The following is a 23,962-nucleotide window of genomic DNA, read 5'->3' as shown; positions in this document are numbered from 1 at the left end:
TCTGGGCAGTAAAATACCTATCAAAATGATAAAGTTAAACATCAGGCTAAATGTTTCAGACTTGCAAGAGACCCACTTAAAAGCTTAGTTGAAATCAAGCAAACCTGAGTTTGAATCCTGTCACTTGTTAGATGCATGAAGTGGCGCCAATTATTTAACCATGCCATCCCTCTGTTTCTTCACTTATAAATTGGGAATGCTAAGAGTGCCTGCTTCATAGGTTGCAAGATTACGTGAGATAATCCAAATGAGGTCCTTCCTCAGCACTATGCCTAAGCATACGAAGCAACTGATGAATGTTAGTAAACGTTGGTGTTGGTGACAGTGGCGGTGAGGTGGTCATACGATGATGGTGATGATGGTGATAGTAGTAGTAGTGGTGGTTATAATGATGGTCTTTGTAGTGGTGGTGGTGAGGTGGTCATATTATGATGGTGATGGTGATGGCGATAGTAGTGGTAGTGGTGGTTATAATGATGGTGATGGCCATAATGATGGTGGTGGCCATGGTTGTGGTAGTTGTGATTATCATGATGTTGATGGTGATGGTGATGGTGGAGTTCTTTCAACAGCCATCCTATGCCAGCTCTTTGCCAGCAATGCTGTCTCCTTGGCAAATAGTCACTAACATTTCCACCTGAATTTAAGAAACATGAAGCTGTTCTCTGAAGCATCTCCTGGCCTACAACAGAGAACTGACTACTCTGGATATTGTGCCTTCTCTGTTTCTCATGTATATATCCATTCTAATACCTGTAATGTCTTATTGTATTTTTGTATTTGTATCCCTAACTCCCCTAGTAGACTATAAACTCCTTGAGGGTAGGGATATTATTATTCTTTATATCTCCAGTGCGAGTAAAGTGCCAAGCTCATACAGGTACTTAATAAGTGTTTGGGAATAAGTGGTAAATGAATGAATGAATATGTGAATGAATATGTGAATGAATATGTAAATAAAATGGCAGCAAAACCATGGGCATTATGTGAAAGGCAATAACTTATAAAGGACCTGCTTCTATACTTTAAGAAAAATATAAAACTGGAAAAGTTCCAATATACTGAATTTGGAGGGTGATGGAAAAAGAATAAGGGTAGTAAGGCTTCAATTCTTAGACTCATGAGGACATTAATAAGGTGAATAAGTACACAGTCACAAAAGAACAGAATATTGCAACTCAGACTTACAACTGTGATGTCTGAAAGTATTACTAGAACAATAAAATCAAGTACTGCTTTCATCATGGATGAATGTATGAATCCAAGAGCTAATTCAAGCTGAAAAATACAAATGGGCTTTCCAAAAACTGAAAATAATTTACTTACAGTTGACTGAAATCCCATTTATATTTTCATTCAATTCAACAAATCATTAAGAAGCACCTACTCATAAGCTTGGGACTGAAATACAGACATGAAAAATACAGCTCCTGCCCTGGAGAAACTTATATTTTAGTAGGAAGACAGATGTAGGCAATCATTTATACAGTGCTTCTCAAATCATCTATGGTAAGGAATCACTTTTTTCATTTCCAATGTGTCACAGACTGTTATTTTTGGAAAACACAATAAAAATAAACGATTAGAAAAATAAAATTATCTAAAGATATACAAAATATAAGCCCCAATTTTTTGTAGTTATTAGAGTCAACAAACAAAATTATTGTCAAATTGCCGTAACTTACTAAATCATCAATTTCTATACTTTTCTCATCATGGAATATTAACAATTTGCAGACCAGCAGGGGTCCATAAGCCATATTTTGCGTAGTATTGACATTTAATACACTAAGTTTGTTGCTTTAACAGAGATAATAATTGGAGGACAAGAAGTTTTTAAGAAAACTTACATTATTTGGGAACCAAGCGTACTTGACTGATATATAATCCTCAAACCTTACCTATCCCTCAGACTGAAGACCATTTTTCTCTTCCTCTCCAGTATCTATTTTCTTAAAAATATAGCCCACATTTTCTGCCTCATCACCATGCCAGGACTATTTCATAGCCTAAAACAAAATAGCATCACTACACTTTTTCATATTTCTCTTGTAATATTTATATCCTGCCACCTGAGATAGCTATTGATCTCTTTTCCCATTAGATGTTAAGCTCCTTAAGGGCAAGAGCTTTATCATATTTACCTTAATATCCTCCACAGCACCTGGCAGGTACTCAATTATTGCTTGTGGAATGAGTGAAAAAAAGTGAAGTAATGAATGAACAAGTGAACCAGCTACTACTCAGTGCCTCCGAAAACAGATTATTGAGATGTACTATGTTTTAATGTATTTGATATCAAAGGTTAATGCATCCCTTTGGACTTAAGCTGCTGGAATCACTTAATTTTTCTATACTTGTTCCACATGTGAAATTCCAACCGACATCATGAAAGTTTGATTAAACAGACCAAGAACAGTATACCTGATGGATGTCAATTCCCCCAGGGCAGGATGTGGATCTGGAAACCAGAAGACTCGACACTACAGAGCTGAAAGTTCTCAAAAGGAGCACAAGTCCTCTGCCCGGAGTAAAACGATGTGTACTTCACCTCCAAAGAAGAAACAACGCAAGTTCAGAGACACAGAGGTGTCTGGATTAAGTCTTCATATTTTGAGCCTGTCGTTCCTCTCATATGTCCCACTCCCTTTTCATACTGTATTCACTTCCCATCGTAAGGGGTAAAAACTGGAGGATTCAGTGGTATTGCAAAAATATTTCCAACCTAAGGAAGCAAAAGGACAAAGCAGTTTCAGCTTCCGAGATTATTCTAGCTCCTCAGAACCTCTTGTTGCCCTTGAAGCTGGTTTCCTGGAGAAGCTAAGATTCCCAGGACTCTGCAAGCAGCTAGAGTTATCTGGTGAGTGATCAGAAGGCTTCTGGGAGGAGGCCCAGCTGGGATTCCTTCCAAACCGTATCTGCACCACCTGTAACTCTTTAGTACGTTTGCCTGCCAGAAGATCGACCCAAGCCTGAAGGGGGATGGGGAAAGCTGCCATTCCAGAAAGAACCACCAGCCAGCTTTGGCAGCAGAAGGGCGTCCTTGTGCATTGAGAAGGAGTCAGGACTTCCAGCGAAAGGCACCTCGCCAGCCCTGGTATGCAGATCCAGGACCTGTGCCCACTCAGCCTGCCCCAACTTGCCCAGGAGAGAGAGAGGCCAGGGAAAAATGGAAAAGGTGTTCATTCCCCCACCTCCTTCCAGTTACAGCCAGTTCCAGGCTCCTTTGAAGTCCTGGCCCAGGAGCCATGACCGGTACTAATGCTGGGGCTTTTTCAGTGAGTCTCTGAGATTCAGGTTTTTTCTCCTTCTCTGGAAGGCAGACCAACATAAATCAAAAAGCACAGGCTTTAGGAGCAGATAAACCTCAATTCAAATCCTGGCTGGGCCATTCACTGGGTTTAGAAACCCAAGGAAGTTATTCAACTTGTCTTAACCTTGGAGTTGTTATTTGTGAAATACCATTAATCTAGCCCAGAGTTTCTCAACCTCAGCACTATTGACATTTTGGACTAGATATGTTTTTGTGGGGGTGGGAGGAACTGTCCTGTGCATTATAAAATATTTAGCAGCATCTCTGGCCTACCCACTAGATGCCAGTAGCACTCTCCCTCTCCCAGTGGTGACAACCAAATAAATGATTCCTGATAGTGGCTAATATTCCCCTTGAGGGAGGGAGTAGTAAGTCACCCCCAGCGGAGAACCACTAACCTAACCCAATTTTTAGGATTGTTGTTTTTTACATATTAGTACAATTATAGAGAGTCCAGTACCTATGAATGAGCAAAAGAAAAGCACCCAAGAATTATTAAATCCTGTGGCAGATGCCATTACCACTCCACCCACATCCCCTCAGCTCTCACCTCAGTACACTGATGGGGCTTCCCACAACTGCCTGGGACTCTCTGGCTTTAGGAGTACAGTTTTTCTGCACACAAACCAATTTCATTGTTGAGGCCCTCAGAAACAGGCTTTAACCACTGATAGATGATGAGTTGGTGTATAAATACCCCAGCTTCCTAGCTGCTTAGTTGAGATAATTCTAAGGAGTGTTCTCCACTATTTCCCAGAAATTCCTAGTAAGATCAGACTCCATTGTCTATAGTGGTAACTGGTTGTATAACACACCCCATCCCTATCCAATTTTCCTACTACCCCACAGGTGTGTCCTAGGATTACTTCCCAAACTGCACAATTTCCTCTATCTTTCATGTGTTTTTTTTTTTTTAGGAACCTACTACCTACAAATTATGCCTTCTATTTCTTTCGTGTGTGTGTGTGTGCGCGTGTGTGTATGTGTGATGGAATCTTGCTCTGTTGCCAGGCTGGAGTGCAGTGGCGCCTGCTCGGCTCACTGCAACCTCCGCCTCCTGGGTTCAAGTAATTCTCCTGCCTCAGCCTGCCAAGTAGCTGGGATTACAGGAGTGCACCACCACACCTGGCTAATTATTGTATTTTTAGTAGAGATGGGGTTTCACCATGTTGGCCAGGATGGTCTCAATCTCGTGATCCACCCATCTCGGCCTCCCAAAGTGCTGGGATTACAGGCGTGAGCCACCACGCCCAGCCTATGCCTTCTATTTCTATAAATGTTCAACCTTACTGATTTATCAGGCTTCTCATTAGTACTTACCCAGGTCTGGTGTTTCCAATTTTTTTAAGTACCACAAATAAGCTACTGTTCTTCTCTGGGGACTACTGAAAATTGTGATCAACACATCCCAGATGGTCTCAATGCATGTAGAAAATAAGAAGTTAAAATCCTCATTTCTCGCTCAGTCCCTGAGCCCAATCTAAGCGCCATATTGCTGCCACATAGCTTCCTTCTAAAATGTACATCAGATCATGTCCGACATGAACCTAGTGGTCTTGTCTATTGCTGTAACCTCAGTCCCTAAAACCACAACTGGCACATGGTAGGTACTGGGTGCTATTTGTTGAATTACTAAGTGAATGTCATTTTCACGCTTAAAATCTTTGCATGCTTCCCTATGTTATCAGTAAAGGAAAAAGGCCAAACTCCTAAAATGATACATAAGGCAGAGGCTTCATGGCTCTATCTCTGTTTCCCTCTCCAACTTCATCTCTCACCACTTATGCATTCTCCCTTACTCCAAAATATATATAAATAACCTGTATTTTAGCCATCCCATACTCGTGGTTCCTATAAAATTACATACTTTTTATGGCTGTGATTTTGCATATGTTGCCCCCTCAAGTTGATACCAACAGGTTCCTGCAGAGGTGCTCAACTCTGACTTCCTCTGGATGGCCTGCCCTGATCCCTTTGAGTAAGGGTAGTCTTTTACTGCTCCCATTACACTATTGAAATTTCTGTTTGCTCAGTAATCTGCCCCACCAGAGAGAGAGAGTGTTTTGAAGTAAGAGTCCATGTCTTTGCTTTGCAGTTATTCCCATGCTTGACATATTTTAGGTGCTCAGAAAATAAATGCTTGTGCATTAATGAAAGGCTTTGATTGTTCTCTGTAGTAATATTTTGAAGACGCTTTAGTATGTTATCCTCATTCCTCTAAATCAGCAACTGACTTATGCCTAGAGAGAATATTGGGGAATCTTAGGGATTCCCTAACTGCTAACCGCCTTCAGAAAGATAAACCATGGGTACAAAAAGTGCATTATCTAAGCTTCCTATTGTTACAATTTGGCTTTACTAATCATGAGAAGAACATAGTGCCTTGGCCAAGGAGTAATGTGACACGCCACCTGAGCTTATAGAGGAGGCTCAGTGTATGAAAACAAACTCCTCCCACATTGCACAACCAAGTGGGTGGCTGTCATGAGAACCCAGAAAAGCTATTTGGAAGTGGTTCTCTTCATTGAGCTGAGCTCTTTCAACCCAGCACAGCTTCAAGATGGAATGTTTACAAATTCAACATAAGGCCTTAAACCTTGAAGCTCAAGCCCCATATTAGTGAGCTGGTTTTATGGAGACAGAGGGTAGAAAACAAGAGAAGAAGATGTACTGACTATGCTTCAAAGGTCCAATTAATTCTGCATCTAAATCACCTTCAGAGAGAAGGATCTAGCTGGGACACAATGACCCCTCCTCACTTCCCCACCCTTCTTCAACTCTCACCCTCCCAAAGCAAAGCTGGTTAAAAAGCCCCAGACATTTCCTTTCCAAAACTACCCTGAGACTTGGATAAAATCTAATCGCATGACAAAAGAAATTGTATTGAAAATGAAGAACACAATGAAAGAAGAGTTTTCACTATATTGATGCAATCATGCAACCGGCAAGCACTAAGCATCTACTTATGTGAACAGTTCATGCATCAGGAGGCACTTGTTTGCCTCGGGAAAATGACATTATTTATAAGGTGCACACGCCCTCTAAGACAAAGTATCTTGTCAAATGCTGAATATGATGTCTAAAAAGTAATAGATGTTCACATGATGCTAAGTCTCCTGTATCCTGTACCCTGTCAGTAGGGAGACATTAATTGAAGTCTCTATTGTGAAGTCTGTCTTACTGAGCTAAAAATCAACCAGCATCCATTTTCAACAAAATCAATGACATAGGTCCTCTACTAGGGCCACCAGCTAATTTTCCTCAGTTCCAATTTCCTAATCTTTAAATACCCTATTGATATCTGTTCATTTCACCAACAGTCATTCTACCACTACGTAATTATCCCTAGTTCTCTAAGCCCTTCAGTAATTTGACCACTTATAAAACTTGAATGAAATATGAATGTTGTCTTTTTCTTCCTGTGTTTCTAAAAATACCTTCCACTTGACAATACATGATAACATATGCCATCACAAGCACACTTCAAAAGTATGATCTACACAGCACAGGGGAGTCCCCTCAACTCAACAGGGAGTTCTTTGGGAATTGGTTCTAGGAGTTGGTCCATTTGAGGCCATGAAAGTTCCGTGTAGAAACAAAGGTAAAGGCTGAACTTTCTCAGAAAGAAATCATAGAACCACCAAATGCCCAAGCTCAAAGGAATTCCTGGAGACCACAAAACCAGCTAACTCATTTGACAGCTGAGGATACTTTTGGATAAACCAGGGAAGGTATTTAAAATGCTCAAGTCCCAATAACAAGGAAGGGGAAGCCAGGCCAAGACTCAAGCATTCTGATGTCCACACTCTCCTCTTTCTACTGCTCCACACTACCTCTCAATGAGCATTACCATTACTGAATCCCACAGCCTCCTGGACAAGCTTGCCTGGCATTGGCAGTGCCAGGCATTGGCAATGTGTTTAGCCAGTAGTTTAGACAACCCACAGGAAGAGGTGAATGTTCTTTGCTATGCAAGTGCTAACCATCTCAGGTTACTTTCAGACCAGTAATTCCACGTGGCCTTTATGAGAAGACTCAAAAAGTTACTTATCCAGGACCTTGTAGATAATTAATAGAATAATTAATTAGGGGCAGAGTAGAGACTAGATTCCAGTTCTCCTAACTTCCTATATAGCATACTTTCTCCTCCTTTAAAGTCTCCCATGCAGAGAAATCTCAAAGAGGAAATGATGGATTTCAACATTCAAGTCTCAAACCAATCATTTTGAAACCAACATACTATATAATATCCCATCCTACTTGTCTAACGTTGGCCAAAACAATCTCCTTCAGCTGAAACCTTCCTGGTCCCAACTTTTCCTGCTAAAGGCAAACACAAATCCAGCTAAAATAACTGCTACTGCTGTTGTAAATATTGTTAGCACTTGTAGGGCTCCACAGAATGAGAGGTAATTCTCTTTTTATGTGCAGCAGTAGCAAGGGTGTTTAAATGTCATCTTTATTTTGACAGTATTTCAGAGAAAGGCATTAATGCCACATTCTATTTAGATAAATTTTTATTATATTGAAGGCCAGTGCCTTTCCATATTGGATTCTCTTGATGGACAAAAGACTCTGAAATAGCACCCAAAAAAGTATTTTTTAAAGCACTATTGTTCTTATGGAAAAAAAATTTAATTCTGACAACAATGTATAGAGAAGGGTAGCCTGGCAGAATTGCATCAACAACGTCAGTGATTTAAATTTAGTTTTACTTTAACTCATGGCCCTAACACCTTCATTCTCCAAAGACTCCATCCCTGACTAACAGTCTCAATTTCTATGTGGTTTTCTTTTTTACATGTCATGCCTAAGATGTAATGAGTAGTTCAGCCTTTACACAGATTATCAGGTGAATTTAGCAAATGGTACACACAGAAAGAAGGTCCTTTTCCAAAAGAGAGAGAAAGAGAAAGAGAGAGAGTGCAAAGAAATAAATTCTCCTGGTTATTTAGTGCTGGTAAAGAGAGTATCAATTAGCATAGCCCGTTTAAAACCATGATGGTGAAACCAAATTAGAGCCAGAAAATGTTCAATCTTTTTGACAGTCACTCCTGGAAATAACTCCTAGAAAAGTTATGTAAGTAGAATATTCATTCCAATGTTAACCAGAATGGGGAACAGAGGCTTATATGCATGAGAAAATAAGGATGTCCATTGTCATGTTGACTAAAACAGAAGAAGGGTTGTGAGACAAAAACTGGAAAAAACCTCAATATCCAACAATAGAGATATACTGCAGTAAAATAGAGTATCAATGTGATTACATGTGCAGCCATTGAAAATAATTACAAAACTTATTAAAAATATTTTTAAAATGAAACATTCGAGAATACAAAAGAATATGTACGTTTTAATTATAGTAATTTTAAAATATGTCATTCCCTGCTTCAAAGCCTTCAATGGCTCACCACACAATCTCCTTAATATGGCCATTAGGCCCACCTTTGTCTGGTCTCTACATACCCCTCCAACCTTAACTCACCCCACTCCCTAACTGCCCTGGCTCTGAGTGTTTAGAGACCTTAGAAATTGCCTAAACATGTCACCCTCAGTGATCATCTGAGGCATCACTTCTTTGAGAAGGCATCCGTGACCTTCCCCACAGCAAGGCTTTCTATGTCAGCACTATCACACTGCATTGCAATTGACTGTGCACTTTTCAGTTGCCCCAAGTGGACTGTGAGCTCCTTTTCATCTGAGATCTTGTCTATCTTTCTCACAGCTGTGTCCTAGAACCTGGCACAGTGCCTGGCATATGGAGGGGCTCAACAGATGTGCATTGGATGGATGAAAAAATAAAAGAATGATCAGTGAGTGAATCAGTGAAGGAACCAATGAGCAAATATCATTGCTACTAGCCTCTCTGCTTCCCACTTTGAGTGAATAGCTGAATGCATGCGGACCTGTGTTCAACGCGGCAAATGCAGACAAGAAGAGAAGATAAAACATAAGAACCTGTGAATATTGGGGTAATTGAGCTGACCTCATTTTCAAATAGTTTTTAATATTGCGGAGAGTTTTGGGAGGTAAGGGTGTAGCTTTATTGAGATATAATTCACATACCATACAGTTCACCCATTAAAATTGTAAAAAACAATGGTTTTTAGTATATTCACAGAATAATAAAATCATCACCCCAATCAATTTTAGAACAGTTTTATTACCACAAAAAGAGTCCCCCTACTGCCACATTCATTAGCTATCACTCCCCACCCAATCTACCCGTCCTCCTCAGCCCTAAACAACCACTAATCTTCAGCCTCTATTGATTTACCTATTCTGGATCTTTCATTTAAATGGAATAATCTGATATATGTTCTTTTGTATCTGGCTTCCTCCACTTAGCATAATATTTTCAAGGCTCACCCATGTTGTAGCATGTATCACTACTTCATTCCTTTTTATGGCTGAATAATATTCCATCGTATGGACATATCATCTTTTGTTTTATCTATTCATCAGTTGATGGACATTTGGGTTTTTTTACCTTTGGACTATTATGAATAATGCTGCTATAAACATTCATATATAAGTTTTTATATGGGCACAGTATTTTCATTTCTCTTGTGTATATAGCTAGGATGAAATTTCTGGTTCATATAGTAACTCCGTTTAACTTTTTGAGGAACTGCAAGGATGTTTTCCAAAGTGACTGCACCATTTCACATTCCCACCTTCAGTGTATGACTCCAGTTTCTCCACATCCTCACCAATGCTTACCCTTCTGGCTCTTTGATTATAGCCATCCTAGTGGGTATGGAATGGTACTGTGGTTTTAGTTTGCATTTCCCTGATGACTAATGACATTGAATATTTTTATATGCTTTTTGGTCATTTGTATATTTAATATTATTCAAAATCTTTTTTTCAGTTTAGAAAAATGTTTATAATGAGGAATAGTTTCTAATAAATAGGATGTACATAGGAGATCATTCTGAGCTTGTAGTGATAACCACCAAAGGTAAAAAGTACAAATAAGATGGCTTAATGACCTATACTGGACAAAAGAGATAGCAAGCTTCATTCCTGACTCTGGGCAAGTTTCCTAGCTTCTCCAAGCCCTGGTTTCAACATCTGTAAAATGGAATACTAACAATATCTATATGATAGGTCTGGTGTGATAGTTAAATAAAATTTACATGTAAAACACATAGCATAGTCCCTAGCAAACAGTAAGAACTCAATAAATCTTTGGTGTATGAAACTATGGTAATTAAAATTAATCATTTTTTTTAGCTACAGGACTTATGGGAGGCTTTATTATGCAAATTTGCATTATGATTCTCAAAGAAGAAAGAATTTGTTTCCTAAATTTAATTGATCATGGAATCCTTGTTTCATAGGTCGTCTGGCAGAGCAAGTTGTCTAGGAACATGCCCTGGGAAATGCTAATCTACCTCTTCTCTCTTTAACCGACCAGGAAACTGAGACCATGAAAAGAACTACCCAAGATATTTAGTCACTTGATAACAAATCCAAGGAGAGAACCCAAGTTCTCCTCTTCCCCTATTCTTCAATGAAATGCATGAACCCATCACCTTGAGAGTGGGACAAGAAGAAGCCTTGTGTCCACCTGCCCCATACTCCATCTGTTTGGTCCACAAGCTCGGTCCCCACCCTATCAGGCCCATCCTCATATTGTCATGGGCTGGAGCAAGAGTACAAATGGAGGCCCACGTGACATACGTCTAAATGTGTAACAGATGTAAGTCAAGTTGACAAACTGCTGAGGAATATATGTTTCATCCTCCTGCCTTGGCAAGTGAACCTTCATAATGACCTGAAAGGCCAAGTTGAAATTCAGAACCCCTCAGAGTTCCTCAGTGAGCGTGACCCATGAGAGAGGGGATCCTGGAGCCTGAGGCTGCATCCCACTTCCCGCCACCCCTGGCTCTGTCCCACACTGCAAGCACCTTGTTAACATGCAGATAGACCCCTCTGGCCACATGTCCAAACTTCATCCACAGGCTGTTGTGACAGCAACCTCCCAAACCCCTTCAGAACTAGGGAGTGTGCAGGCTGTCAGCAGGATGGACTCTCAGGAAGTCAGACCCAGGAAGAGACCTGGGAGTGAAGTTGGGTTCAGGGCTGTTTGGGCAGGAATATGGGGTCCCAGGCACCTGAAGTCTAGAGGGGCATGGGCTCTGAGTGGATGTTGTCCCTCAGTCCTGCAGACTGAATGCCCTGCAGGAAGAGGTATAGCACGAAGGGGGCCAGAGCACAGCTCTACCGGAGCTGCCCATGTTCAAGGGCAGTGCTGTTCACTCTGCCCATCTGAACGCCACAAGGATTGTTTCAGGGAAGATGCCTGAAAAGAAACATCTGTGAAAATCAGATTGCAAATCCCTTTCCTGAACCATGAGCTTTTTAACTGAAACAGCCCTGCAGCCCCACTGCAGGAGGGTCAGCCCAGAGATTCATGAGCAGCTGCACTGGGATGGCTTCATGTGACACACTGAGGCATCAAGAAGGGCATGCCAAGGTGACCTGGGGAGCCTTCTTTCAGGCCTCCACTACCCCCATTTGGTAAATTCGGGAAGATTAGTAAAAATTGAAAGGAGACTCAAGGCTCACATTATCTCTGGATGGTTTGCTACATGTAAATAATCAGAACTTGATGGTAGAAAGCAGATTGTCCATTATCATTAGTATGATTTCAGCCTGCTTTATGGCTCCTCAGTGAGTTGAAAACATATTTTTAGATTTAATATCAAAACCTGTCAGAATTTCTTTTGTTAAAGCTAACAGAATGATACAGGTCAGATAAATTATTATAAGAAATTTCATTAAGGAAGTGCCATATGTGGCACTATAAAAAAGACAGAGCAGCACATATGGCTAGGAAGAAGGGATGGCACTGTGTCCCCTGCACGTGCATGACACCGTCACGCCCTTCAGCCCCTGTCACTGTGGCCATACTTGAATGGGAAACCCCTCCTCCATCTCCATCCCTGCCTTATGCTGTCCTCTCTCCCCCAAAACCTGTGTTCTGCTGGTGCCCCAACCCCGGAAACCTGACAACCAATTTAATTTTTGTCTGCAGAGGACTTGGATAACAGGACTTCTGATATCCCAGGGAATGGAAACTTTCAAACAGGAGACAAAGAAAATGGATAGACAATTAAACGCAGGGCCCCAAGTCAGATTGAATGCTCTCTCTCTCTCTCCTGCTTGGTATCAGGGGTTAAGAACACCAGTTCTGGTATCAGACTAGCTAGGTTTAGGTCTTGATAAATCAAATCTCACCTTGAATTGTAATCTTCATAATCCCCATAATCCCCACGTGTCAAAGAAGAGGCCAGGTGGAGGTAATTGAATCATCGGGGCGGTTTCCCCCATGCTGTTCTCGTGATAGAGTTCTCACGAGATCTGATGGCCTTACAAGGAGCTCTTTCCCCCTTCACTCGGCACATTTCCTTCCTGCCAGAAGGTGCCTTGCTTCTCCTTCACCTTCCACTATGATTGTAAGTTTCCTGAGGCCTCCCCAGCCATGCTGAACTGTGAGTCAATTAAACCTCTTTCCTTTATAAATTACCCCCATCTCAGGCAGTTCATTATAGCAGTATGAAAATGGACTAATACAGGTCTCTACAACTCCTTCATGTGACAGTGTGCAGGCTGCTTCATCTCAGTAAGTCTCACTTTTCTCATCTGTAGTATGGGGATAATAATATCCATTTCTTCAGGTGCCCGCTGGGAAAACTAAATGAGAAAATGCGTGTTAAAGCACTTAGCATGATGCCTGGCAAAGAGTAAAAGTTCAATCCATATTTATAATTGTCTTCATTTGTATGTCATTTACAGACAATAGCTTTGGTGGAAAAACATACAATTTAAGTTAGGAAATCTGTATCTACCACTGGCTGTAAGACTTTGGCTAGTCGGTTCACCTCTCTAGACCTTCATTTCCTCATCAACAAATTGGGGATAATCCTACCCATCTGGCAGAGTTGTTTCAAGATTCAGGGAGCTACTGAATGGGGAAAGTGCTTGCAAACTATAATGTGATACGCAAGCATAATTTAATGTAATCATCTCCAAGCTATCCCCGAGCCTCTGAAAATGCTGGACAGTTGCCATTTATATGACTTTCTTCCAAATATGGACTGTCCAGGCAGTCGAGTAATAACTAAAAGCATCCTAAGAGTCTAATGATACAAAGCATCAAAACAAGTCAGAAATGTAGAAGCCCCGACTCAAAAGGGTCTGAGATGTACAGCAGAGGCGTGTTCACAAAGGAGCTGCCTCGCTGATTGCACTTAATAGCTTAGCATCCTTCAAATAGGTTATATATATATATTTAAAGCCCAGAAATTGATATTCAGCAGCACAGCTTCCTTTCAGGCCTAGAGTCTATAATAGTTTTGTCCCTTGAAATCATAGCTCAAGAGATAAACCAGTCTGGGCCTCTGAGATGCACAATGGCAGCCATGCTTGGCTAGCCAGATGCGTTCGAGTTTTGCTGATGGAGGATCTGACCACTTGGCTCGGATCATGGAATTTTTCAACCTTCTGGTCCCAGCTCTTGGCTAACTATTATGCCCTCGGAAGGCCCTTCCAGCCTGGTCCTTCTCCAAGGGTAAGTGAGCTGATTACTTACATACAACTCCTCTCTTGGACTCTGAGGCTTGGAGGGTGTTGAGCATTTTATCTTGAATCTCTTACTTTATGAAATCCTCTAGGATATATAAAACAGGAAAATGGAAAGGGAGAATGAGTGTTGAAGAAAAATGAAAGAAAGGAGGAGAAAACAAATGTTCTCCCTGACTCTGCTTCACCTCTTCAGGTGAAGGAGGAGGAAGGGTGCTGTCAAAGTTGCACCAGAGCCAGTTCTGAGAGGGAAGCACTTTGGGGAAGTAGCAGCCTGCACAGCTCAGGGGAGCTGCTGACTCCTGGAGGAGGTGGCCCCTGCCAACGCAGACCCAGCCTTAGCTGGACACAGAAAGGGCAGGATCTTTGGCTCCTGTGGTATCAGAAAGAGGTGACAGACACATGCCTGGAGCAGATTAACCTCAGGCAAAATGGAGAGAGAGGCAGAGCTGAAGTGGGATTACAGACCTCCTCTGCTCTGGTCTTTACCTCAGTTTCCTCTTAGCTGTGGGAAAAAAAAAAACAACCCTCGTGTGTAATTTGAACATTTCTATTCATTGGGTGGTGACTAAGGCTCAGCAGCCCTGAGCCTCTTCCAGCCTCAATTGCTGTCTCTCCTCAAGTTCTCTTTCCCTCCCCACCTGCCTCGCGATGCACAGGTTCCTTCCTTTCTCCTTTCTTTCCTCAGTCCTCTTGCTGCTGTCTCCACTTTCTCCTGCCTCAGACTCTTTCATTCAAACCCTTCTTTCCTGTTCACCCTCCTTCCTGCTCCCCCTCCTTCCTGTTCCCCTCTCCTTCTTGTTCCCCCTCCTTCCTGTTTTCCCCTCCTTCCTGCTCCCCCGCCTTCCTGCTTCCCTTTCCTTCTTGTTCCCCCTCCTTCTGCTCCCCCTCGTTCCTGCTTCCCCCTCGTTCCTGCTTCCCTCCTCGCTCCTGCTTCCCCCCTCGTTCCTGCTTCCCCCTCGTTCCTGCTTCCCCCCTCCTTCCTGCTTCCCCCATCCTTCCTGCTTCCCCCTCCTTCCCGCTTCCCCCCTCCTTCCCGCTTCCCCCCTCCTTCCTGCTTCCCCCTCCTTCCTCGCTCCTGTCCCCTTCTCTCTCAGTTCCCCTCCTCCTCTGTCCTTTTGCTGTCCTAGTCTACCTTTCCTGTTCTTGTCCTACCGCTTCAAGATGCCCTGGTGGGGACTTTCTGATTTCTCTGTTTCTGGCTTCTAGAACTTTGAAGGTAATTAAAATCATATTCGTATATGTATCTGTCAAAAGTCCCCAATATTGGTGGGGAAAGAATTAGGCAGGGGAAATGGTGATTCATGTTTAAATAAGTAAAATAAGTATAATAAAACCACTTTATAGTAAATTTTCTAAGATTGCAGACTACTTTTTATATTTCTTGTGGTTTCCATAGAGCCTAGCATTGTGCCTAACACATAAAAAATGCTCAATAAGTATTTGTTGAATGAGTGCCTCAACCAATGAATGTATGAATATGGAAACAAAATGTGGTTTATTTCATTTAAGCACATATAGCCACAGTGTCAATTGAGCCAGAAAGCAGGGATGTATGTCTTTAAAGAATCTTGGAAATCCTTGATGGAATGTACCTATTCACTTATAATTAGCATAAGTATTATTAAAATGTTGCCCTCTTCAATGGGCTAACATTTTCCTTGTTTACATTACTAATTTTCTTGGCAAGCCTTCTTTCACAAATACAGGTCAATCCCAGCTACAAGTTCTGTACACAAAGCCGCTGACTCTGCTGGTGTCCCGTGTTGACACTGGATTACTTTACCCATCTCCTCTGCACCTAACTGGTTCATCTGCAGGATTCATCTAACTCATCCTTTCACAAATGTTTCTCTTATGCTTCTTTGTGCTAATCTTTATGCTGAGTACTTCACATATATCATCTCATTTAATTCATACAACCTCTGAGGAAGGCATATTATTATCCTTACTTTTCAGATGAGGAGCCTGAAGCTAAAATTGATCAAGTATCTTCACCAGTTTTCCCAGTTTGCCTACCACAAAAGTAGTTCCTGGCATGCAGGCCTTGTGGTTTTCAAACGAGGACGGTCCCAGGCAAGCTGTCCCAGTTTGACTGGGACCGGGGAATTTCCCAAGACATGGGACTTTCAGTGCTAAAGCTGGGAATGCCCTAATGCACACTGGAAGAGTTGCTCACCCTACTCTAGTCATGTGCCCAGGGCCATTAGAGTCAGGATTCAAAACTATGTCATCTGATTTCAAGGATCTACTTTTAAATAGCCTGCCCTGCCCAGCCGACCACTAGTCCTACATTTCTAGCTGCTTCAGAGACATCCCACAGTTACCTCACACCCCAAATACCACCCTCTAAAACATCTCTCTTCCCTTTAAGCAAACTGTGCTACTCTGTTAAGTAACATCTAAAGGTATCCTTATAATCACTTCCAAATTTCTCAAATCCTTCCCTCCTTTGCTTTTCCCTTTACTAGCACCCTGGTCCAGGTCTTCAGCGCCTGAATTCCCACAACCAAATTGTTTCTCTGCCTCCAAGTGTCCACCCTGCACATCATCCTCAGATTTATTCCTTAAGAGGGTAGACATGAAAGAGAATTCACAGTCCAGCCTTGTATCTGACATGTTAAAAAGCTAAGGCAAAGAGAATTCAATAGCGCCTCCAAAGCTGCATCAGGGCAGAGCCCAGTATAGCACCCACATCATCCTCACCCACAGGCCCGTGTACTTTCCAAAGCACCTACCCTTGCCTCTCCTGTGTTTCCCTTTGGCCACAGAGCAAGTCCAAATTCTGCATCTGAAAACATTTCAGCCTCCTGGTCCTACCTACAATTCTACCAAGTACCCTCTCTGCTCTGCTAAGTTTGTCTGGCCTTTGCAGCTGCAAACCTCTGGACCACCTCTGCATCTTCTCTTCTGTTTTTGCCCACCTACTTTCCCTCCATCACTGAGGAGGTTTTTAGTGAGCACCTATTATGGACAAAGCCTCTCTCTAGTGAAAACACAGAAGAAGACACAGTCCCCAAAACAAACAGCTTTCACTCTGGCTCAGGTTTCACTTCCTCATGACCCCTCCCCCAACCCCTTTCCTCATAACTTTCCAGAATACACATTTTCGGTACCAAGACTTTTGGCATTTAAGCTATTGAATCCAATTTTTTATCTGTTCCATGTAGGTGGGTCTCAATTTCTTAATAAGACTGTCAGGTCTTGGATATAGTGATACTGGAGAGCCTTTCTTCCTGCTCCCCACAAGACATCTGACCTTGTGATGGGTGTATAATCACTGCTTGACAATTTCTTGTTGAGCTGAATTAAATTGGTCACAACAGATTCTCTACTACAAACCATCCTATGCAACATTTTTTTTCTCTGATTCCAGTGTACATAGCAGTCATTCTGCCAAAGAAAAACTTGACTGCATATTCTTTTCATTGCAGTCTAGAAGGGCAAGAGCTGACATCAAATTGACCCACTTACATTTCTTTTTCCACTACTAGGGAGGAACCCACCTCCTTCCGTGCTCTTCCTCCTCCCCCAGACATCTCAAAGAACCTAATCACCATCTTCTGAATCCTCCCTGTCACCTTCCGCCCCCTCAGCCAAATGCACATACCACCTCAAATACTGAACCGCAACTCAGATTTTTAAAGTTCAAGAATGAAGAAGAAGAACCAATTGACTCATTTTTCCTTGATTCAAAGTGCTGTGGGTTTTCTAAAGCAGCCCCGACACCCCTTATGTGGGCCTATTTCTGCAGCCAGGGCAGACCAAGGGGCTCCTACTTCCCTAGCCAGATTGAACAATGAACCATAAATTACACAGCCTTGATGTGTGACCTTGGGCAAATAAGTCGCTTCACTGCTCTGGGCTTAGGATTCCTCAGCTACAAAGGGAGGCGCTTCTCTGTGGGCTGTCTGAGGACCCCTCCACTGGCACATTCTATGACTCTGATTTCTTTCTCACTCCTAGATTCCCTCCACAGAGCAACCTGCTCCAAGAACAACTCCAGGCCCAGTAAATCTTCCCTTGCCAACACAGCTCTACCGCTGCCAGTGCAAAAGGTGGAAAGATGATTTCTTTTCTTTGTTTTGTTTTGTTTTTAATAAGTTTCATGCTGAGAAAAGCTCATGAAAACTGCTAGTTCACCCAGGATGGAAAGACACCCCCAGTAGAAGGGCAAACAGAGCTCAGGGGCTCTTAGTTGCCCTATGGAGGCAAAGTGACTCTAAAAGCTTTGTCAGTTTGATTTCAGTGGCTCATAGGATTCTTTGAGCCATTTGCCCTCTCAAAATAGACAGTAAGTAGACAATGAGTAGGTCCTCAGAAAAGCCACTCCTAGTTTTGGTATTTTGTGGATTCTTTATTTGGATGACACACAGGGCATCAGTTCCTATTGGCCTTTTCTTGAATAACTTGCTTACAAAGGAGAAGGAAATGCTGCTTAAACCACAATTGCCTTCCATGGAGAGCAGCTCTTCATAAATAAGAAACCCTTTGAATCTGCTGCGTACCTTGATGAGTTTGGATATGCAAAATGGACCCAGAGCAAGATGTGGAAAGAAAGGCAGGGAAGAGTTGAATTGCTCCGCATAACTAAAAAGAAAAATTGGAATTTGTCAGGAGAACCCAGGAAGGATGAGGATGAGAAAAAAGAGAGAAGGCTGGAGAGAAGAACCAGCAATTTGAATGAGGCTGAGGCTCTATGTGGGGTGCAATGGCCAGTGAAAAATCTCAGGGATGGGAAGGCAGAACTTGGATGACTATTTTCATATGTGGCTGTGTGCTGTTGCAATAAGACCGTCTCCATCCTCCTCTTAAGTCTACTCTAAAATCTTCTCTGCAAACTTTCATGAATAAGTGGGGATTTTTGTTTGTGTTGGTGAACTCAGGGAAGAGGCTCAATTTCAGGTATGAGTCAACATGGATTAGAACAACAGAAAGCATAGAGCCACAAATTTAAAAAGCAGGAGTTAGAAGCCAGGAGTGATTACAAGACAGTAATCCCCAAGGAATTTGGAGAAATTGTGAGATGCTCACAGTGTATTGAGTTGGTGGTTCAAGCTTATGTTTTCTAAATACCAAATGGGAAAGAAATTTGGAATTTGTTGGAAGAATCCAGGAAGGATGAGGATGAGAAAAAGAGAGAATAATGAAGAGAAGAACCAGCAATTTGGATGAGGCTGGGGCTCTATGTGGGGTGCAATGGCCATGCACATGTGTGTGAATGCACACACACACACACACGAGTGGAAAAAAAAATCTTGAAGAAAAGGCCGAGGGAGAATATTTGACCAGCCCAGGTACAGGGGAAACCTCACTAAAAATGAGCTGCTGCTCCCTGGAATCTGAGGGCTCTTCTCTAAAGATAGAGCAGATAGAGCCTTGGGCAGATAGAGCCTTGGTTCCTGGCTAGGCAACGAAAAGGCAGCATCAAGAGAAGAGGCAGCTGCTGGCTGCAAAGGAGTGTGGATATGCAGGCCAAGCGCTGTCCACAGTGAAGGAAGTTAACCAGGAGATTGTGATCAGATGAGGTATGAATTTCTCTTGATGGTTCTGTGTTTTATATAGAATATTTGGAAATGTCTAAAAATCATAGCACCTCAAAGTTGGAAGACAGCTTCCCCCCTATAAACAGTCACTGTTAAAGCTATTAAAGAGTGTGAATGTACATTAGGAAAAACTGAACCAAGAAAGAGACCCGGGAGGGTTTGATGGTGGGAAGAACCAAATTCCTGCCAACCAGAATAGAATCCCAGAGAAAAATGGATGCTAGCCAGAGAAATAGCCCCTTCCATAGATTGTTATCTAGGGAGAAACAGAGGGAATGAGGAGGAGTCCAGCACAGCCTCAGACAGACATATCTGGGCTCTAAAGCACCTCCCTTTCTATGTTTTATGTCTTTAGTTTCATTCATTTTTTCGCATATATTTACTGAACATTCAGTACAAGCCAGGTACTTTTCTTGATGTTAGGGAGACAGAGATAAAATAATCAGATAAGGCTTTGTTCTCTTGCATTTAACACAGGCAATAAACAAGAGGGAAGAACATGAATGAATAGGATTTAGATGCCACTAAGTATCCTATGAGTAAAATAAAGCCGACACTTGTCACGAACAGTGACTTGGGACAGGGCCTGCTTTAGGAAGAGTGGTCAAGGAAGGCCTCTCTGAGGAAGGCTCCTCTGAGTTGCAATAGAAGCAATGAGAAGGAATCAGCCTTAAGAAGACGTTGGAGAAAGGCATCCTGAGCAGAGGGGAGGAAATGCAAAGGCCCTAGGAGGGCAGGGGGCAGGCAGGTGGGGTGGAGCTGGAGAAGCGCATCTGGAGTAGAGGCTGAGAACAAAGCCCAGGGGCAGGTCCTGCAGGTCCCTGAAAGCCATGATGAAGCCAATCAAAGTGGGCAGCCATCTGGTGCACCGTGGCGGAGAGGAGTTTCCTTCCTGCACTGGAGGAGGCCACTTCTCCGAGAAGAGATGCATGGAGTGAGCTCTGCACCCACACAGGAGACTCCAGGAGTGGTGCTTACAGCGAAGAGCCACCAGATGGCTCCATGAAGAGATGGCCCACTTTGCTTTCTCCTGCCATTGCTGACGCTTTTCCTGTTGTAAGGTAGAAGCACTTTTTCCCATTGAACGAAAGCTTCTTCAACAATCAGCCACTTTCCTTTCCTTTTTTTTTTTTCAAACAAAATGAACCAATAGCAGCCAGTAAGTACAACAGGGCAGGCCAAATAGAAACCATCTTTGCCATCCTGACAGCTAAAATAAACAACTCCTCCTAACCAGGGGGCTTCCTCTGGGCTCCATTCCTAAGCTCCCCTTTTCTCAAAGTGCTGTGCTCAGTCCAACAGGCTGGATCACCCTCCTTTCCAGAAAGTCAATCCTAGGAAAAAGGAATGCCTAGCCCAGGCCACAGGCCAAACTTTAACTCTCCAAGTAGATTACCCAGGAAGTAATAACATCTGAGCACTTAAACAACTCACTGTGACAGTGTGCATGAGAACATGGGGCTGGGAGAGCAAGAGGAGCTTCAGAATAAAAAGGCAGACAGGATGGTGGCTACTTTCACAAAGGTTTTCTTGCAATAGTATGTATTAGTAAATCAAGTCAAGAATCGCTCCAGACTGTCCAACGCCCACCAGCCCTGGAAACTGTTGTTTGGTGTGAAAGAAGGAGCTTCAGAGAGCAGCACACAGCTGGCATCAAGAAGCAAAGGTCTGCAGGACTTGTCAGTGAGTCTAATGAACTCATCAAGGAGCCACAGGGCCCAAGGCTTTTCAGGACACTCTGAAGAGTCAACAGGGAAAAAAAATAGCCCATCTTTAAGGAGCCTGCAATCAAATGTTGGTCATGAGAACTCTTGCCCAATGGAATTTTTTCCTTCTTTTTCATCTGTTGGAATTAGTCTCTCCCTCCCCTGAGCTCCCACAGTACTTGGTCCATATTGTAGTTATACCCAGACCTGTGTCCCTCAGTAGATGGAGAGCTCCCTGAGCCCAGGCCTACCTGTCATCCACATTTGTGTCCTCTCACCCACTCAGGACCTCCCATAGAGCCTGGTGCCTGGCTGGCCCTTCACAAATGCTCATTGAACTAAATTTTGATGTGGAAACAGGAAGCCCAACCACAGGGCCCAGGGGAGAGTCTGTGAAGTGAGTGAAGCGTTGAGTTACATTGGATCTGAAAAGTACTCTTCTTAGCACTGACAAGGCCTAGCACATGGTCAGCCCTTAATAATGGTGTTTTGTTGTCTTTTTTTCCTCCTATGAGGTAGGATTTAAGAAGCTTAAAAAAATTTTTTTTGAAGTTCTCTTTTCCCTCAAATCCCTCCCCTCTCCCTGACATTATGCCTATAATCTCTAAATGAGTCAAACTAGTGAGATAGGGCAGTGAAGGGACCTATGTTAAATGAAATCTGGGACGGCAACTTGTGTGGATATTATTATCCCCTTATGGAAAATGAGGAAAACGAAGCTCAGAGAGGCTAAGTAACTTGGCTACTGTCACACAGTTTGCAAGTTGCTAAGCCAGGATTTAATTCTAAACCTGACTTCACGATAGTCCTGCTGCCGCTGCGTTAGGCCAACCTTGCATGGTGGCATGGAACCAGAGCAGAGCTTCCTAAAGTGGGCGTCTGTAGGGGGATCATGGATTCTCTCCAAAATGCACATCTCAAGGTTTCACCCTTACCTACTTAAGTCAGAAGAAAGATCTGGGAGAGAGAATTGCATGTTTCTTTTCTTTTCTTTCTTTCTTTTTTCTTTTTTTTTTTGTTTTGAGACAGAATCTCACTCTGTCGCTCAGGCTGGAGTGTGGTGACGTGATCTCGGCTCACTGCAGCCTCCGCATCCCAGGTTCAAGCAGTTCTCATGCCTCAGCCTCCCAAGTAGCTGGGACTATAGACATGCACCACCACGCCTGACTGATTTTTTTATATTTGTAGTAGAGATGGGGTTTCACCATGTTGACCAGACTGGTCTCGAACTCCTGAGCTCAAGAGATCAACCCGCCCCGGACTCCCAAAGTGCTTTGATTACAGTTGTGAGCCACCACACCCAGCCAGGATTGCATTTTGATAAGCTCCCCAGGTGGATTCTTATCCCCATGTTTGAGAACCACTGATCGTGGGACAAGAATTAAAAGTCTTTGGCTCCTTTCTCCTATAAGAATGGCCATAATCAAAAAATAGAAAAATAATAGATGTTGGCATGGATGTGGTGAACAGGGAACACACCTACACTGCTGGTGGGAAGGTAAACTAGTACAATGACTATAGAAAACAGTGTGGAGATGCCTTAAAAAACTGAAAGTAGAACTACCATTTGATCTAGCAATCCCACTACTGGGTATCTACCCAGTGGAAAAGACGTCATTATACAAAAAAGACACTTGCACACGCATGTTTATGGCAACACAATTCACAATTGCAAAAACATGAAACAAATCCAAATGCCCTTCAATCCATGAGTGGATAAAGAAACTGTGGTGTGAGTAGTATGATGGAATACTACTCATCCATAAAAAAGAATGAATTAACGGCATTCGCAGGACCTGGATGAGATTGGAGACTATTATTCTAAGTGAAGTCACTCAGGAATGGAAGACCAAACATCGTTATGTTCTCACTCATAAGTGGGAGCTAAGCTATGAAGATGCAAAGGCGTGAGAATGACACAATGGACTTTGGGGACTCTCGTGGGAAAGGGTGGGAAGGGGGTGAGGGATAAAAGACTATAAATTGTGTGCAGTGTATACTGCTCGGGTGATGGATGCACCAAAATCTCATAAATCACCACTAAAGAACTTACTCATGTAACCAAACAGCACTTGTTCCCCAATAACCTATGGAAATAAAAAAATTTTTTTTTAAATATCTTGCTGTGGAAGTGGCCAGTAGTGAACTCCAGTGGATCCTCCTCCAAGAGTCAAGAGAACAATTTTAGGAAGCTGTGCTCCGGGTCAGAAGGACAAACACTCCCTTCACCTTTGGACATCAAAACTAAAACTTAGTCTTTACATCAAGGGTAACACTATGGCCAGTCAGTAAAGCATGAGGTTCAAGGCTGCAGTTCTGCTTTTTTCAGCCTCTGCGTCTTTTTTCAGTCTTGTTGTGACTAGAACTTAGAGACCTTTCTATAAGAAAGGGCAATGATAAATGAATGAATATATATATGGTGGGGAAGGAGAGAATGATACTGTTAAATATATGTAACAAATATTTAATATATGATATACAGTGTGTGTATTTAACAATATTGTTTTCAATGCTCTGTTCTCCAACTCTCCCTGACACAGGTACACACACACACACTTAAAGGATATATATGTCATGATTTACTTCTTTTTGACAATTCCCATTGGGGCAAATTAAAGGTGAAGAAGTAACCCTGAAACTTGAAGCTATATGATGACTTTTCTATCTGCCTGACCAAAAAGTAAATAAATAAACCAAGAAAGTCCCTTGGTTAGTTGCTTTCCATGATGAGTAGGAAGAGAGGGCTGCTGTGCTAGTCCATCATCTTCTCATGAAAGGTCACTGGTGTCGTTTCTCCAGTAACT

At 42.5% G+C, this 23,962-nt stretch overlaps 2 long non-coding RNA genes across 2 annotated transcripts in view, besides 1 other annotated feature; both read right to left on the bottom strand.

Annotated features, from left to right (window-relative positions):
- Positions 1-2,866, bottom strand: part of LOC101929727 (uncharacterized) — a 248,010-nt gene extending 245,144 nt beyond the window's left edge. Inside the window, exon 1 of the long non-coding RNA XR_001747537.3 lies at positions 2,425-2,866. This is a non-coding gene — a long non-coding RNA (uncharacterized LOC101929727). The remainder of the gene's footprint in view (positions 1-2,424) is intronic.
- A 6,467-nt stretch (positions 2,867-9,333) lies between these two features.
- Positions 9,334-14,665, bottom strand: LOC105378416 (uncharacterized). The gene is made up of 3 exons (XR_946178.3): positions 14,548-14,665; positions 13,917-13,994; positions 9,334-13,018 (listed from the first exon to the last, which is right to left on the bottom strand). It is a non-coding gene; the product is annotated as an uncharacterized LOC105378416 (long non-coding RNA).
- Positions 20,124-20,463: an enhancer, noted in NCBI's record as "active region_3719". NCBI's record gives its function as "activates an Ori minimal core promoter by ATAC-STARR-seq in GM12878 lymphoblastoid cells {active_cell/tissue: GM12878}" and the evidence as "EXISTENCE:reporter gene assay evidence [ECO:0000049][PMID:35858748]".

This window comes from Homo sapiens, chromosome 10 (assembly GCF_000001405.40).
Source record: "Homo sapiens chromosome 10, GRCh38.p14 Primary Assembly".
Taxonomy (NCBI): Eukaryota; Metazoa; Chordata; class Mammalia; order Primates; family Hominidae; genus Homo; species Homo sapiens.
Note: the sequence above shows the minus strand (reverse complement) of the source record. Positions and strands in the feature narration are given on the sequence as shown.